Genomic DNA, 16,309 nt, shown 5'->3' with positions numbered 1-16,309 from the left:
GAATGCTGAAATTAATTGCTATTTGTTGGTGACAGCTGTTAGCTTGTTATGTTTCTTTCTTGACTTCTTGCAGTCCTCGGCATATCACATAAATTACCATGCATTTTGACATTACTCTTTTCCCGTATCATACTACCACTAATTTCTCTACCTCATACCTATTCTTCACAAAATATATTTTTCTTTTCTTAGTTACAGGCCAGCTATTTAAATTGGATGAACCAAACTGTAGTATATAGTTTGGCTAGTGATCAGGAATTAAATAGATAAGCGGAAAGACTGAATATTAAGAACCAGGAAAAATAACTTCAGCATCTCACAAGACAAAGCTATATTAATTCCTAAAATAATGGGGTTAATTTATAAAACAAAGTAGACTTCTATGTAGTTTTAAGGGTTTAGTTAATTATTTAAAAAAAAAAATTACCTTATGAGCCAGAAGTTTCAATGCACTTGGATTTAAAGAGAGAGGTACATCTTACATATAAGTCAAGATAATGTCTGAGATTTGCTAAAAGAAATATTTTTTCCACAGGGTTTTTTGAAATGGTAGATGATAAAAACACAGCTCAGTTTTCTATATTTCCTCATTTTTGGCAGTGAAATGACTCTTAGGCATGCAAGATCCTGAATGGAAGTCTAGTAACTACGATGGTAGTTGAATGATAGTTTTCAAAGATAGAAAACTAACAGTGATACATGCTAGAATTATTTGCATCAGCAACATCTTAACAAAATGTTTTCTGTTGATTAGAAAATTTATTTTATGGAACTTTTCATCTTTTAAGTATTCTAAATTGAGATTGTATTGAACCCATCTCAATATTCAAGGTAAAGATTATTTATTTATTTATTTAGGGACAGAGTCTCGCTCTGTCGCCCAGGCTGGAGTGCAGTGGCGCAGTCTCGACTCACTGCAAGCTCCGCCTCCCGGGTTCACACCATTCTCCTGCCTCAGCCTCCTAAGTAGCTGGGATTACAGGCACCCACCACCACGCCTGGCTAATTTTGTTTTTTTTTTGTATTTTTAGTAGAGACCGGGTTTCACTGTGTTAGCCAGGATGGTCTCGATCTCCTGACCTTGTGATCTGCCTGCCTCGGCCTCTCAAAGTGCTGGGATTACAGGCATGAGCCACCATGCCCAGCTGGTAAAAGATTTTATAATAAATAATAAAGACATAAATTTGAAACTGGTATATAAGCTAAGAGGTGTAGAGCTTGAGTATCTATCTCAAAATGAATAGCAAGGACACAACAAACAAATAATTACCTCCTCAAAAAAGCATCTGTGAATTTTTTTTTTTTCCCCAAAGGCCAGAGGTACTTGTGGAACCTTAGGGATATATTTTTGTTCTTTATAAGTGAATGGGAAAATAGAATTGTGGATCCTCTTATGAAAATGTTATAAAGAGAGATAACATTTAAATTATAGAGAAGGGTGGGCGTGGTGGCTCACACATGTAATCCCAGAACTTTGGGAGGCTGAGGCAGGAGAATTGCTTGAGCCTAGGAGGCGGAAGTTGCTGTAAGCTGAGATTGCACCACTGCACTCCAGCCTGGACAACAGAGCAAGACTCTGTCTCAAAAAATAAAATAAAATTACAGAGGAGCCTCAACTGGCCCAATGAATGCCCATTGAACATGGTGTTGCCTTATTAAGAAATGAGTTGAGAAATGGATACTCTGGTCTACTCTTGACCAACAGCTCAAGATGAGACAGAAAACTGCAAGAATGATAGATGAGTATAATGAGGAAGATTCCTTGAAAACTTGTGGTCAGAGAGTTGATGGGATGGGGGTAGAGAGAGTTCCCAGGGAGCTAGTGACATAGGTCTAAGAAATACTCAGTATCCTCAGAGAAAAGTTTTTTGATCATGTGCTACAGTGGTGGAGGATGTGGCTGCAGAGACTAGGCAGTTTTAAACAAAACCCCCAAAGTCCAGACAAATGAACCTGAGACTTCCAAAGATCTGGAGACAAGGTAAAGACTACAACAGAAATAAGGATGAATTTATTTAAAGCAATCTCAGTAATAAATCAATAACAATTGATTGGCCGGGCATGGTGGCTCACGCCTGTAATCCCAGCACTTTGGGAGGCCGAGGTGGGCGGATCACCTGAGGTCGGGAGTTCGAGACCAGCCTGACCAACATGGAGAAACCCTGTCTCTACTAAAAATACAAAAAAGCCGGGCATGGGTGGCCCATGTTTGTAATCCCAGCTACTCGAGAGGCTGAGGCAGGAGAATCACTTGAACCCAGGAGGTAGAGGTTGCGGTGAGCCAAGATTGAGCCATTGCACTCTAGCCTGGGCAACAAAAGCAAAACTCTGTCTCAAAAAGAAAACAACAACAACAACAATTCATTGCCATTAATTCGGCATTTACTATGTGCCAAGCACTGTGCTGAGTATTTTGTGCACTGTATTCCATTTAATCCTGCCAAGAGACTTAGGAAATATGTCACCATTTCTGTTTTGCAGAAGAGACTGAGGTTCACAGAGCTTGGTTACCCAAAGGTAATGAGTGGCAAAACTACAATTCTGACCCAAATCTATCAGATTCCAAAGTCTTTCTCTTCACCACTATATTACAGTGAAAGGTAGAAGAAGCCCAAGAAGTGCCTAAAAGAAGCTTTAAACCCTGAACAAATCTAAAAGTAACCTGAGTCTTTCGAGGCCCATTTCTAAAGTAATATCACTAGTAAAAACGTATAAGAAATTGAACAATGTTTTTTTTAAACTATACAGCCTGAAAATTCGTATAGACTGAACAGGCCTGGGAGTCAATACTACCATATTTTAAGCCTCTTCCCCTGCCCTTCTTTTAAAAGGGGGCTATACAGGAGGTTTAGAGGTAAAACAAACAAACAAACAAACAACATGCTACTCCATTACTTAATGTGAATAAAATAAACTGAAGTTAAAACATTTTCCAGGTTTATCTAGTTTATTCCCTGATAGTCTGCTGCCGGGTAGTAGGGCCTCATGCCAACATCATGTTCCATGCTGCTCATCTTTTTTTGTTTTGTTTTGTTTTGTTTTTTTGTTTTGAGACAGAGTCTCACTCTATTGCCCAGGCTGGAGTGCAGTGGCATGATCTCAGCTCACTGCAACCTCCGCCTCCTGGGTTCAAGTGATTCTCCTGCCTCAGCCTCCTGAGTAGTTGGGATTACAGGCGCGCACCACCATGCCCAGTGAATTTTTTGTATTTTTAGTAGAGACAGGGTTTCACCATGCTGGCCGGGCTGGTCTCAAACTCCTGACCTCGTGATCCACCTGCCTCGGCCTCCCAAAGTGTTGGGATTACAGGCGTGAGCCACCACGCCCAGCCTATGCTACCAGTCTTATATCAATTCAGCCAAACCTGTCTGACACACTGACTACATGCACATGCTTACTGGTTAAAGGGTGTATGTGCCAAATTGAAGTGGGGCAGTCAGTAGAAAGGAGGTTTATAGAGAAGTTACAGTGCATAGAAAAGCCTAGATCTGGGATATGGTAGTTTTCAAGAGAAGGTCTCATTTTTTTTTTTTTCTGTAAAATCTTGAGGTAGCTATAGTAAATAGTTAAACCACAAGTTTCCTGGGAGGACAGATGTGCTTCTGAATTCTATTGACCTTGGTGTGGAGCCTGTTAAATTTTTTTTTATATTGTCAATAAAATAAATATATTAAAATAATTTATATATCTCAACATTTGCTATACTAATGGAGTAGATACCCCACCCACAAAATTCTTATTTTACTGGCTTTGGACCAGACAAGCTATTTTGCTCAGTGAAAAACACTGAATTTTCCAGTGTTTGTGAATAAATAAATAACCTTCAAAATAAGAAATAGATAAAAAAAATTCACATCCATCCATCCATCTCTTCATCAGTCTAAAAAGTAATTTTTGCCTTGTGATATACTTTTCCACTTCATCTTCTATATTACTTTAGGTTTACATGCCAGGTACTACTTTCAGCAAAGGAACCTTTTTTTTTTTTTAGAAAAATTCCAATACTTTGTTCAATTTCTTGCACTACAGTTTGAAACACATTTTCAGTCTCCCATGGAATCTGCTCCCCAACTCAGATGGATTTTAGCTTTGCCTAAATCTCTCCCTATCCCAGGTTCCTTTTGTATTATGATTTGGAGCAAACCTTTTTAGAAAGACACCGAATCTATAGATGTTGCAAAGACAACTCAAATTTAAATCAGAAACAGAAACTGCCTTACAGTACATGTGCTTTTTCTATTTTGTACTTTAAAGAAGGAGACAAAATAGTTTGCATCTTTTATCTGGTTAGAGTTCATAAGAGGCTAACAAAAATTAGGATAAAGAACCAGCCATACTATTATTTATTATAGCCTCTGCCACAAGAGTCCATATACCACATCTCCAAAGATTACTCTCTCGTCTCCTGCTTACATTGCCTTCCTGACAAGAACAACCTTGCAGGTGGAGGTGTGGGAAGGGAAAGAGAGGGAGAAGGAGCCAGAAAGCAAGAGAACAAAAATGTAATTGCCTGCCTATCAGCCCCACTATCATAATTACTTTCAAACTCTGACATGGGTTGAATCAGATGAACAACCAAATCAATTTTTGCAGTTGGCGATCAGTGCATTCTTGGCTTGTAAATTAAAATGTCACTGCTGGAGTACAAAGTGATGCCACTCCTGGGCTCCCCAGTACATTGGGAAAAAAATTCAAGCTCCTTCCTTCATGCCCTTCATGCTTTTCCTGCTCTGTCCCTTTTAGCCTCTAGCCACATTCTTTGTCTTCTCAGTTACCTAACAGTGTGGTCCAAGCATCTATGTCAAGGCAGAGGGTCCTTGACACTGCATAGTTCTATAGAGAGCTCAGTCCTCTACGTCAGAGAAGTGCATTAACTATAGGGCAATACAGAACAGCACACACTGACAACCTCCAATATATAATTTCCAGGAGGTAAAGGATGAGATAACCATGCCCATGGGGGAGGGAACCTGAAGGAATGGAAGAAGAAATCCTGATTTTGGAGAGTTTTGTTATTTGACTGCCACGTGATCACAGAGCCTTGTGGCCTCATTTAGGTAAATGAAGCATGGGTCACAAGCCATATTGGTCCATTGGAATCTTTACAGCCTCAATTTGGTCAATATTTATTGAGAGCCCAGCCCTTGCCAGATACTATCTGCAGTAATGTAGGTACAAACCAACAATTCTACAGTCAAGGATTTCATAGTCTAGGAGGAAGAGAGAAATCATAAAATATAACCACAAAATGATTGATAAATGCTATTAAAGCAGAATAAATACATCACCATAGTAACAGTGGAGAGAAGTAATTAACTCAGAGAAAGCTGTAGTGGAAATGTGGCATTTTGATCTGGTCCTTGAAGGATGATGCCAACGTTTGTCTGCCATACTCCCACCCCATATTTCTAGGAATTTTGCTTATTTCTCCACTCACACTCATCCCATCACTCATTAATTCATTCCTTGGCTATTTATGAAGAACCTACTTTTTTTTAGGCTCCATGCTAGGATGTGGGACTACAATGATGCCATAGCACAACCAGTTCTAGGACAAGTTATGTGAGGGTATTGTTTGATCCTTACCAACTATCAAGTACAGCCTGGAAACAATTTAATCTGCACCTATGATAGATCTAGAACCAAGATGCCCAAAATCAGACAGAATCTTCAAACATAGCCTTTCTACTTCAGCTCATAACATGAGAATCCTCTACAGAGTTGGCTAGAATGTCTACTTAGTGTCTCAGTACTGTCTCCTCACTTATAGCCTTCTGTCTCTCTGCTCCCCACTTCTGACCTAGGGTGGTAAAATGGGCATCTAGAACTCTACCTCTGAAGTCCAGCAGATTGTAACCTTGGCTTACTCAATGAATTCCTACTGGATTCTCCTTTTTTTTTTTTTTTTTTTTCGGTTAGAGCCCAATCCTCTAGAGTCCAGGCACCTGATTTCAGTCTTATCCATCTTAGGCTGAATATCTTTCCCTATGAATAATTTAATCTTTCTCTGGCACTAAGAATCACGCCCCCCAATCCATATCCTACTACCCTAACTTGAAATTAGATGACTGCGAACAGTAATGCCTATCTGAATTGATTCTGGGTTTGGTGTATATGTGGAGGTTTTCCAGGATACCTAGAATTATCCCCACAGACAGAACCTCATTCAACTCTAGCATGAGTGCCAAAATATATAAACATTAATCTCACTGTTTTTATGTGACAAATATCTTCTGGTGATATTTAATACAAAACAGTACTATGCACATTCGTATATAAAAGCCAGCTAAATGTAGCTGGTTGTGACATTAATAGATCATAGAATTACGGTATGGTATTAATACATACCATAGTACCACCCCAGATCAATACTATCTTGCTCTTTTATATATTTCTTCTTTACTAGTAAGTCCAGGAGTAGAGAAGTAAAGTGTCTACGTCACCATTCCATTTAACAATTTCAGTGGTAGGAAAAGGAAACTAACTTGTTATACGTACACACACACACCTACACACACACACATACTATATATATATCATACTTAATCCACTTCCTGTCCCTTTCAATAGTATGACATAAATCTGTCCCTTCCAGAATTTCACTAATTGCTCATCTCACGTATTTGCCCCATGTGTCATATAACAAAATAGAGAGCAAAGATTATCTAGTAAAATTTCAGCATCAGTCATCTACTTAGCACTGCCTGAATGCAGTTGATAAATAGAAAATAATATCTAGAATCTGCATGTGCACTATTATTTCCATAAAAAATAATCTTTTGGGCAGATATTTCTACCAGATAGCAAAGCATATGTGAAGGCCAGTCCATGGAGAGACTGGATATGCTTTTTCAGAGTCTGATAATGAATGCGAAGACATTCATTAACGGTCTGATTATGGGTTTCTGAATATAATCCAATGTCTAAAGTCCTAGAAATAGTTTAATCATTGTTCTTCCCTCTTTTATTCCTGGACATCTTCTCAGACTCCTAGGGAAATCTCAATGCATGAAAACACAAAGCCGTAAAGTACTTATTATATAGAAATGAGAGGGAAGTAATTTGCTTTCGGGTAAGCAAGGTCGCCATAAGCCTGGCAGAGTGCTGGATGATATTACCATTGACTTGCTCTTTCTATTTCAGTTTTCAAGGGTTGTTTCAGGTACAGGAAATGCTGAGCAAATATACCATTGTCACTTCAGATCATGAACATCCACCTGTGGGATTACAGACACTCAACAAACCCCAGTCAATATTGGGAAAGATCACAGTGATCAACATATAAACCAAATAACTAATCTTTTGGTTAGCATTTTATAACTTTCCACTACTTGAAAGATTTTCATCATAAATCACGTACAGTTATTCGGGGGTTTCTCTTTCCCCAATCCTCTAGAACACATTCCTGCCAGCGAACAGTCTACTAGGGTTCTTTTGTATCTACCCACCCAATTTTCCCCAGTTAAGAGTGGGACACATATAAAGTATTTATTAATTAGTTTATTCATTTATACTTTCAACAAATATTTATTGAGCAACTACTTTATGTTAGGTCTATAACCTACCGGTGAGCAGAGAGAGAGGTTAAGAGAACAGATTCCAGATCCAGTCTGCCTGATTTCTTTTTTTTTTTTTGTATTTTTATTTTTATTTTTTATTTTTATTTATTTTTATTTTATTTATCATTATTATACTCTAAGTTTTAGGGTACATGTGCACATTGTGCAGGTTAGTTACGTATGTATACATGTGCCATGCTGGTGTGCTGTGCCCACTAACTCATCGTCTAGCATTAGGTATATATCCCAATGCTATCCCTCCCCCCTCCCCCCACCCCAAAACAGTCCCCAGAGTGTGATGTTCCCCTTCCTGTGTCCATGTGTTCTCATTGTTCAATTCCCACCTATGAGTGAGAATATGCGGTGTTTGGTTGTTTGTTCTTGCGATAGTTTACTGAGAATGATGATTTCCAATTTCATCCATGTGCCTACAAAGGACATGAACTCATCCTTTTTTATGGCTGCATAGTATTCCATGGTGTATATGTGCCACATTTTCTTAATCTGGTCGATCATTGGTGGACATTTGGGTTGGTTCCAAGTCTTTGCTGTTGTGAATAATGCCGCAATAAACATACGTGTGCATGTGTCTTTATAGCAGCATGATTTATAGTCCTTTGGGTATATACCCAGTAATGGGATGGCTGGGTCAAATGGTATTTCTAGTTCTTGATCCCTGAGGAATCGCCACACTGACTTCCACAATGGTTGAACTAGTTTACAGTCCCACCAACAGTGTAAAAGTGTTCCTATTTCTCCACATCTTCTCCAGCACCTGTTGTTTCCTGACTTTTTAATGATTGCCATTCTAACTGGTATGAGATGGTATCTCATTGTGGTTTTGATTTGCATTTCTCTGATGGCCAGTGATGGTGAGCATTTTTTCATGTGTTTTTTGGCTGCATAAATGTCTTCTTTTGAGAAGTGTCTGTTCATATCCTTTGCCCACTTTTTGATGGGGTTGTATGTTTTTTTCTTGTAAATTTGTTTGAGTTCATTGTAGATTCTGGATATTAGCCCTTTGTCAGATAAGTAGGTTGTGAAAATTTTCTCCCATTTTGTAGGTTGCCTGTTCACTCTGATGGTAGTTTCTTCTGCTGTGCAGAAGCTCTTTAGTTTAATTAGATCCCATTTGTCAATTTTGGCTTTGGTTGCCATTGCTTTTGGTGTTTTAGACATGAAGTCCTTGCCCATGCCTATGTCCTGAATGGTAATGCCTAGGTTTTCTTCCAGGGTTTTTATGGTTTTAGGTCTAACGTTTAAGACTCTAATCCATATTGAATTGATTTTTGTATAAGGTGTAAGGAAGGGATCCAGTTTGAGCTTTCTACATATGGCTAGCCAGTTTTCCCAGCACCATTTATTAAATAGGGAATCCTTTCCCCATTACTTGTTTTTCTCAGGTTTGTCAAAGATCAGGTAGTTGTAGATATGCGGCATTATTTCTGAGGGCTCTGTTCTGTTCCATTGATCTATATCTCTGTTTTGGTACCAGTACCATGCTGTTTTGCTTACTGTAGCCTTGTAGTATAGTTTGAAGTCAGGTAGTGTGATGCCTCCAGCTTTGTTCTTTTGGCTTAGGATTGACTTGGTGATGCGGGCTCTTTTTTGGTTCCATATGAACTTTAAAGTAGTTTTTTCCAATTCTGTGAAGAAAGTCATTGGTAACTTGATGGGGATGGCATTGAATCTGTAAATTACCTTGGGCAGTATGGCCATTTTCATGATATTGATTCTTCCTACCCATGAGCATGGAATGTTCTTCCATTTGTTTGTATCCTCTTTTATTCCCTTGAGCAGTGGTTTGTAGTTCTCCTTGAAGAGGTCCTTCACATCCCTTGTAAGGTGGATTCCTAGGTATTTTATTCTCTTTGAAGCAATTGTGACTGGGAGTTCACTCATGATTTGGCTCTCTGTTTGTCTGTTGTTGGTGTATAAGAATGCTTGTGATTTTTGTACATTGATTTTGTATCCTGAGACTTTGCTGAAGTTGCTTATCAGCTGAAGGAGATTTTGGGCTGAGACAATGGGGTTTTCTAGATATACAATCATGTCATCTGCAAACAGGGACAATTTGACTTCCTCTTTTCCTAATTGAATACCCTTTATTTCCTTCTCCTGCCTAATTGCCCTGGCCAGAACTTCCAACACTATGTTGAATAGGAGTGGTGAGAGAGGGCATCCCTGTCTTGTGCCAGTTTTCAAAGGGAATGCTTCCAGTTTTTGCCCATTCAGTATGATATTGGCTGTGGGTTTGTCATAGATAGCTCTTATTATTTTGAGATACGTCCCATCAATACCTAATTTATTGAGAGTTTTTAGCATGAAGGGCTGTTGAATTTTGTCAAAGGCCTTTTCTGCATCTATTGAGATAATCATGTGGTTTTTGTCTTTGGTTCTGTTTATATGCTGGATTACATTGATTGATTTGCGTATATTGAACCAGCCTTGCATCCCAGGGATGAAGCCCACTTGATCATGGTGGATAAGCTTTTTGATGTGCTGCTGGAGTCGGTTTGCCAGTATTTTACTGAGGATTCTTGCATCAATGTTCATCAAGGATACTGGTCTAAAATTCTCTTTTTTGGTTGTGTCTCTGCCCGGCTTTGGTATCAGGATGATGCTGTCCTCATATAATGAGTTAGGGAGGATTCCCTCTTTTTCTATTGATTGGAATAGTTTCAGAAGGAATGGTACCAGTTCCTCCTTGTACCTCTGGTAGAATTCGGCTGTGAATCCATCTGGTCCTGGACTCTTTTTGGTTGGCAAGCTATTGATTATTGCCACAATTTCAGCTCCTCTTATTCGTCTATTCAGAGACTCAATTTCTTCCTGGTTTAGTCTTGGGAGAGTGTATGTTTCAAGGAATTTATCCATTTCTTCTAGATTTTCTAGTTTATTTGAGTAGAGGTGTTTGTAGTATTCTCTGATGGTAGTTTGTATTTCTGTGGGATCGGTGGTGATATCTTCTTTATCATTTTTTATTGCATCTATTTGATTCTTCTCTCTTTTTCTCTTTATTAGTCTTGCTAGTGGTCTATCAATTTTGTTGATCCTTTCAAAAAACCAGCTCCTGGATTCATTAATTTTTTGAAGGGTTTTTTGTGTCTCTATTTCCTTCAGTTCTGCTCTGATTTTAGTTATTTCTTGCCTTCTGGTAGCTTTTGAATGTGTTTGCTCTTGCTTTTCTAGTTCTTTTAATTGTGATGTTAGGGTGTCAATTTTGGATCTTTCCTGCTTTCTCTTGTGGGCATTTAGTGCTATAAATTTCCCTCTACACACTGCTTTGAATGTGTCCCAGAGATTCTAGTATGTTGTGTCTTTGTTCTCGTTGGTTTCAAAGAACATCTTTATTTCTGCCTTCATTTCGTTATGTACCCAGTAGTCATTCAGGAGCAGGTTGTTCAGTTTCCATGTAGTTGAGCGGCTTTGAGTGAGATTCTTAATCCTGAGTTCTAGTTTGATTGCACTGTGGTCTGAGAGATAGTTTGTTATAATTTCTGTTCTTTTACATTTGCTGAGGAGAGCTTTACTTCCAAGTATGTGGTCAATTTTGGAATAGGTGTGGTGTGGTGCTGAAAAAAATGTATAGTCTGTTGATTTGGGGTGGAGAGTTCTGGAGATGTCTATTAGGTCCGCTTGGTGCAGAGCTGAGTTCAATTCCTGGGTATCCTTGTTGACTTTCTGTCTCATTGATCTGTCTAATGTTAACAGTGGGGTGTTAAAATCTCCCATTATTAATGTGTGGGAGTCTAAGTCTCTTTGTAGGTCACTCAGGACTTGCTTTATGAATCTGGGTGCTCCTGTATTGGGTGCATATATATTTAGGATAGTTAGCTCTTCTTGTTGAATTGATCCCTTTACCATTATGTAATGGCCTTCTTTGTCTCTTTTGATCTTTGTTGGTTTAAAGTCTCTTTTATCAGAGACTAGGATTGCAACCCTTGCCTTTTTTTGTTTTCCATTTGCTTGGTAGATCTTCCTCCATCCTTTTATTTTGAGCCTATGTGTGTCTCTGCATGTGAGATGGGTTTCCTGAATACAGCACACTGATGGGTCTTGACTCTTTAACCAATTTGCCAGTCTGTGTCTTTTAATTGGAGAATTTAATCCATTTACATTTAAAGTTAATATTGTTATGTGTGAATGTGATCCTGTCGTTATGATGTTAGCTGGTTATTTTGCTCGTTAGTTGATGCAGTTTCTTCCTAGTCTCGATGGTCTTTACCTTTTGGCATGATTTTGCAGCGGCTGGTATCGGTTGTTCCTTTCCATGTTAAGCGCTTCCTTCAGGAGCTCTTATAGGGCAGGCCTGGTGGTGACAAAATCTCTCAGCATTTGCTTGTCTGTAAAGTATTTTATTTCTAATTCACTTATGAAGCTTAGTTTGGCTGGATATGAGATTCTGGGTTGAAAGTTCTTTTCTTTAAGAATGTTGAATATTGGCCCCCACTCTCTTCTGGCTTGTAGAGTTTCTGCTGAGAGATCTGCTGTTAGTCTGATGGGCTTCCCTTTGAGGGTAACCCGACCTTTCTCTCTGGCTGCCCTTAACATTTTTTCCTTCATTTCAACTTTGGTGAATCTGACAATTATGTGTCTTGGAGTTGCTCTTCTCGAGGAGTATCTTTGTGGCGTTCTCTGTATTTCCTGAATCTGAACGTTGGCCTGCCTTGCTAGATTGGGGAAGTTCTCCTGGATAATATCCTGCAGAGTGTTTTCCAACTTGGTTCCATTCTCCCGGTCACTTTCAGGTACACCAATCAGACGTAGATTTGGTCTTTTCACATAGTCCCATATTTCTTGGAGGCTTTGCTCGTTTCCTTTTATTCTTTTTTCTCTAAACTTCCCTTCTCACTTCATTTCATTCATTTCATCTTCCATTGCTGATACCCTTTCTTCCAGTTGATCGCATCGGCTCCTGAGGCTTCTGCGTTCTTCACGTAGTTCTCGAGCCTTGGTTTTCAGCTCCATCAGCTCCTTTAAGCACTTCTCTGTATTGGTTATTCTAGTTATACATTCTTCTAAATTTTTTTCAAAGTTTTCAACTTCTTTGCCTTTGGTTTGAATGTCCTCCCGTAGCTCAGAGTAATTTGATTGTCTGAAGCTTTCTTCTCTCAGCTCGTCAAAGTCATTCTCTGTCCAGCTTTGTTCCGTTGCTGGTGAGGAACTGCATTCCTTTGGAGGAGGAGAGGCGCTCTGCTTTTAAGAGTTTCCAGTTTTTCTGCTCTGTATTTTCCCCATCTTTGTGGTTTTATCTACTTTTGGTCTTTGATGATGGTGATGTACAGATGGGTTTTTGGTGTGGATGTCCTTTCTGTTTGTTAGTTTTCCATCTAACAGACAGGACCCTCAGCGGCAGGTCCGTTGGAGTACCCTGCCATGTGAGGTGTCAGTCTGCCCCTGCTGGGGGGTGCCTCCCAGTTAGGCTGCTCGGGGGTCAGGGGTCAGGGACCCACTTGAGGAGGCAGTCTGCCCGTTCTCAGATCTCCAGCTGCGTGCTGGGAGAACCACTGCTCTCTTCAAAGCTGTCAGACAGGGATACTTAAGTCTGCAGAGGTTACTGCTGTCTTTTTGTTTGTGTGTGCCCTGCCCCCAGAGGTGGAGCCTACAGAGGCAGGCAGGCCTCCTTGAGCTGTGGTGGGCTCCACCCAGTTGGAGCTTCCTGGCTGCTTTGTTTACCTAAGCAAGCCTGGGCAATGGCAGGCGCCCCTCCCCCAGTCTGGCTGCTGCCTTGCAGTTTGATCTCAGACTGCTGTGCTAGCAATCAGGGAGACTCCGTGGGCGTAGGACCCTCCGAGCCAGGTGAGGGATATAATCTCCTGGTGCGCCATTTTTTAAGCCCGTCGGAAAAGCACAGTATTCAGGTGGGAGTGACCCAATTTTCCAGGTGCCGTCTGTCACCACTTTCTTTGACTAGGAAAGGGAACTCCCTGACCCCTTGCGCTTCCCGAGTGAGGCAATTCCTCACCCTGCTTTGGCTCGCGCACGGTGCATGCACCCAGTGACCTGCGCCCACTGTCTTGCACTCCCTAGTGAGATGAACTCGGTACCTCAGATGGAAATGCAGAAATCACCCATCTTCTGCGTTGCTCCCGCTGGGAGCTGTAGACCAGAGCTGTTCCTGTTCAGCCATCTTGGCTCCTCCCCCCTGATTTCTAATTCTAACTTCATCACCTATCAGCTGTGTAACTTTGGGTGACTTACTTTTTTTATTCCTCAGTGTTATCCATTTAATAGGGACTGTTATGAGAATTAAGTGAATTAATACATATAATGTGTTTAGAACAGTATAGGACATATGATAAGTACCCCAGCTGATGCTGGCTGATTTAATAATGATGGTATAGATGATGTTACTTATTAGGAAGAAAGGAACATTCATCACTTAATTACACAAATGTGTCACTGACAATTTATAGCACTGTAAAAGAGAAATGCATGAGGTTATGACAGCATATAAGTGAAAAATCTGACATGGTCAGGGAACTCAGGGAAGATTTCTCTGAGTAAAAAAATAACGTGAGTGCTGAGAAATAAGAACATTAATAGGCAAGAGTGGCAGGAAGAAAAGAGGATTTCATATAAACAGCACATGCAAAAGCCCTTTGTTGGAAGGCAGCAACATTTCCCATTAGTGAAATTAAAGTAAGGTCTGTAATATTGAAGCCCAGAGAATGGGCCCCAGTAGGGCTGGGAGGAAGAAGGCAGACCTAGTGAAGAATAAGACTACAGAGGCAGGAGACAGATTGTACTGGACCTTGTAGGCCATATTAAGGATTTTGTCTTCTCCAAGAGCAATGGGAAGTCATTGCAGTAATTTTTACACAAGAACAAGAATTTGCATTAATGTTCTGGCTCAAAGCTTATCAGGAAATAAACCAAAAAACAAGTGAGCAAGTAGTGTCATAAGTATCACGGTGATCCAGGGGTCTCTGCCATCTACCACTTCCTGGTATGCTATTCGGCCTTATTTCTTGTTACTCCTCAGCTTGCAAACCCACTTCCAGCAAAGCCAGACTACTTGCAATTCCAAATGCACCATGTAGGTTCACCACTATATTCTGTGCATGTGGCAATCTCTGCCAACCATGCCCTTCTTCTTCCTGCCTGCCTGCTAACCCCTACTAGTCCTTTGTAGCTTGGCTTTAAGATCAGCCAATAACATGGTAAATACTCAAGAAATGTTTGACGCCAGCACAAATGAACTCATGTAAATTCTAACATAAATGTTTTAGACAGGCTCAGCTTTGCCAGAGCTAAGAAGATCTTTGTGAGATTACACATTCAAAACTACCAGGAAGGAAGCCAGCAAGCAGCTTCAACTTTTTAAATTGAATCCAATTCCCCAGAATGCAATGATGACAAGACCCCTTGGCCAGTGGTCGTAGGTAGCAGATTCAATGTGATTTCTCTTTATGTGAGAAGACTTGGCTCTTGCCACCATCTGATCATGGAAATTCAGCTCAGGAACAAGCTTTTTGAAAAAAGAAATAAGCGTCTATTAGGGGTGTCAGATAACTCACTGATACATAAGATGCGGACAACCTTTGGCATGAATCGTTAGCCACATGACATGAAGCCATATTACTTCAGCCACTAGATAGAGTGGCAGCCACTATCCTTAGAGAAAAACCCATTCCTAGAGGCTGAGAGGCAAATCATATCACATAATGGCATGAAGTGGACACCATATGAAACCTTTTATCTAAACAAAATAATTAGACAAGCACACAGAGAAGTTATATTAGGATATTTGGTATAGGATATATTATATATAAAATGAAACAATAGAAACAGATCAAGTATTCAACAATAGGGGACTGTTTAAATGAGAATAACCAAAGAACATGTTCCTGAATACAGGTATGCTATATGTTAAAAAATTGATTAATTTTATATATGATGTTTAAAACCCATTTTTTTCTACTTTATACTGGAAACATCTTTACATGTCAATGCACATGTGTGGAGTTATTGTTGAAAGCAAACTGTATGAACATATAAGAACTGTTTTTTTACATACTTGAAGTTTACAAAACTTTTTGAAAGAAAAAAGAATGTAAAAAGTAGTGGAAGATTCCTTCTACTTCCTTACTGGTCATGTTAAACATATGGTCTCACACCGCCAGAGAAGATGAGTTCCTGGACAGAATGACCCTGCACGGGGCTCTCATATTTCATAAGCAGAGATTCATCCATATGGTCAATATTGAATGAGTACCATTTATTTACCTGGCACTATGTGATTTGCTAAAGATATTATAGTGAATGAGAGACAGGGTGATGAGCAAAGTAGCAAATAAATGAGCAATCTATTTAAATAGAGCACGGTGAAGGCATTGCTAGGCACATAGCCATTGTATCTGTCCCCTAATAGTGTCACAGAAGTTCCCACAAATGAGATATTACCACACAGCAAAGGGTTATTGCAAGAGCACATAAGCCAAACGAATGTAAAAGGTGCACTGTTGCATGTAGAATACAGGAAATGTTCAGTGAAGAGTAGAAAAAGAAAAGAAAAATTGTTCCATTGAAAGAGAACTGGGAGGATGTTTTATGCAGAGTTTGCAAGATTTGGATAGGCTACAAGTGAATTGCTTCAGGACGTTTCTATTTATTATACTCACCCATTGGTCTTTTCTCCTTCCTCCTACTGTATAAATCAGCAACACTATCTGATAGCTGAGCTTCTTATCCAGCTAGAAATAATCTTGTATTTTATGCAAGTCTGCCTAAATGTCAGCAGGGCA

At 39.8% G+C, this 16,309-nt stretch overlaps 1 protein-coding gene across 56 annotated transcripts in view; it reads right to left on the bottom strand.

Moving 5' to 3' along the window:
• NRXN3 (neurexin 3) overlaps nt 1-16,309 on the bottom strand; it is a 1,697,919-nt gene that overhangs the window by 86,826 nt on the left and 1,594,784 nt on the right. The gene's annotated exons all lie outside the window — the stretch shown is intronic.

The sequence above is a fragment of the Homo sapiens genome, chromosome 14, assembly GCF_000001405.40.
Source record: "Homo sapiens chromosome 14, GRCh38.p14 Primary Assembly".
Classification (NCBI taxonomy): domain Eukaryota; kingdom Metazoa; phylum Chordata; class Mammalia; order Primates; family Hominidae; genus Homo; species Homo sapiens.
This window is presented reverse-complemented; position numbering and strand designations above follow the sequence as displayed.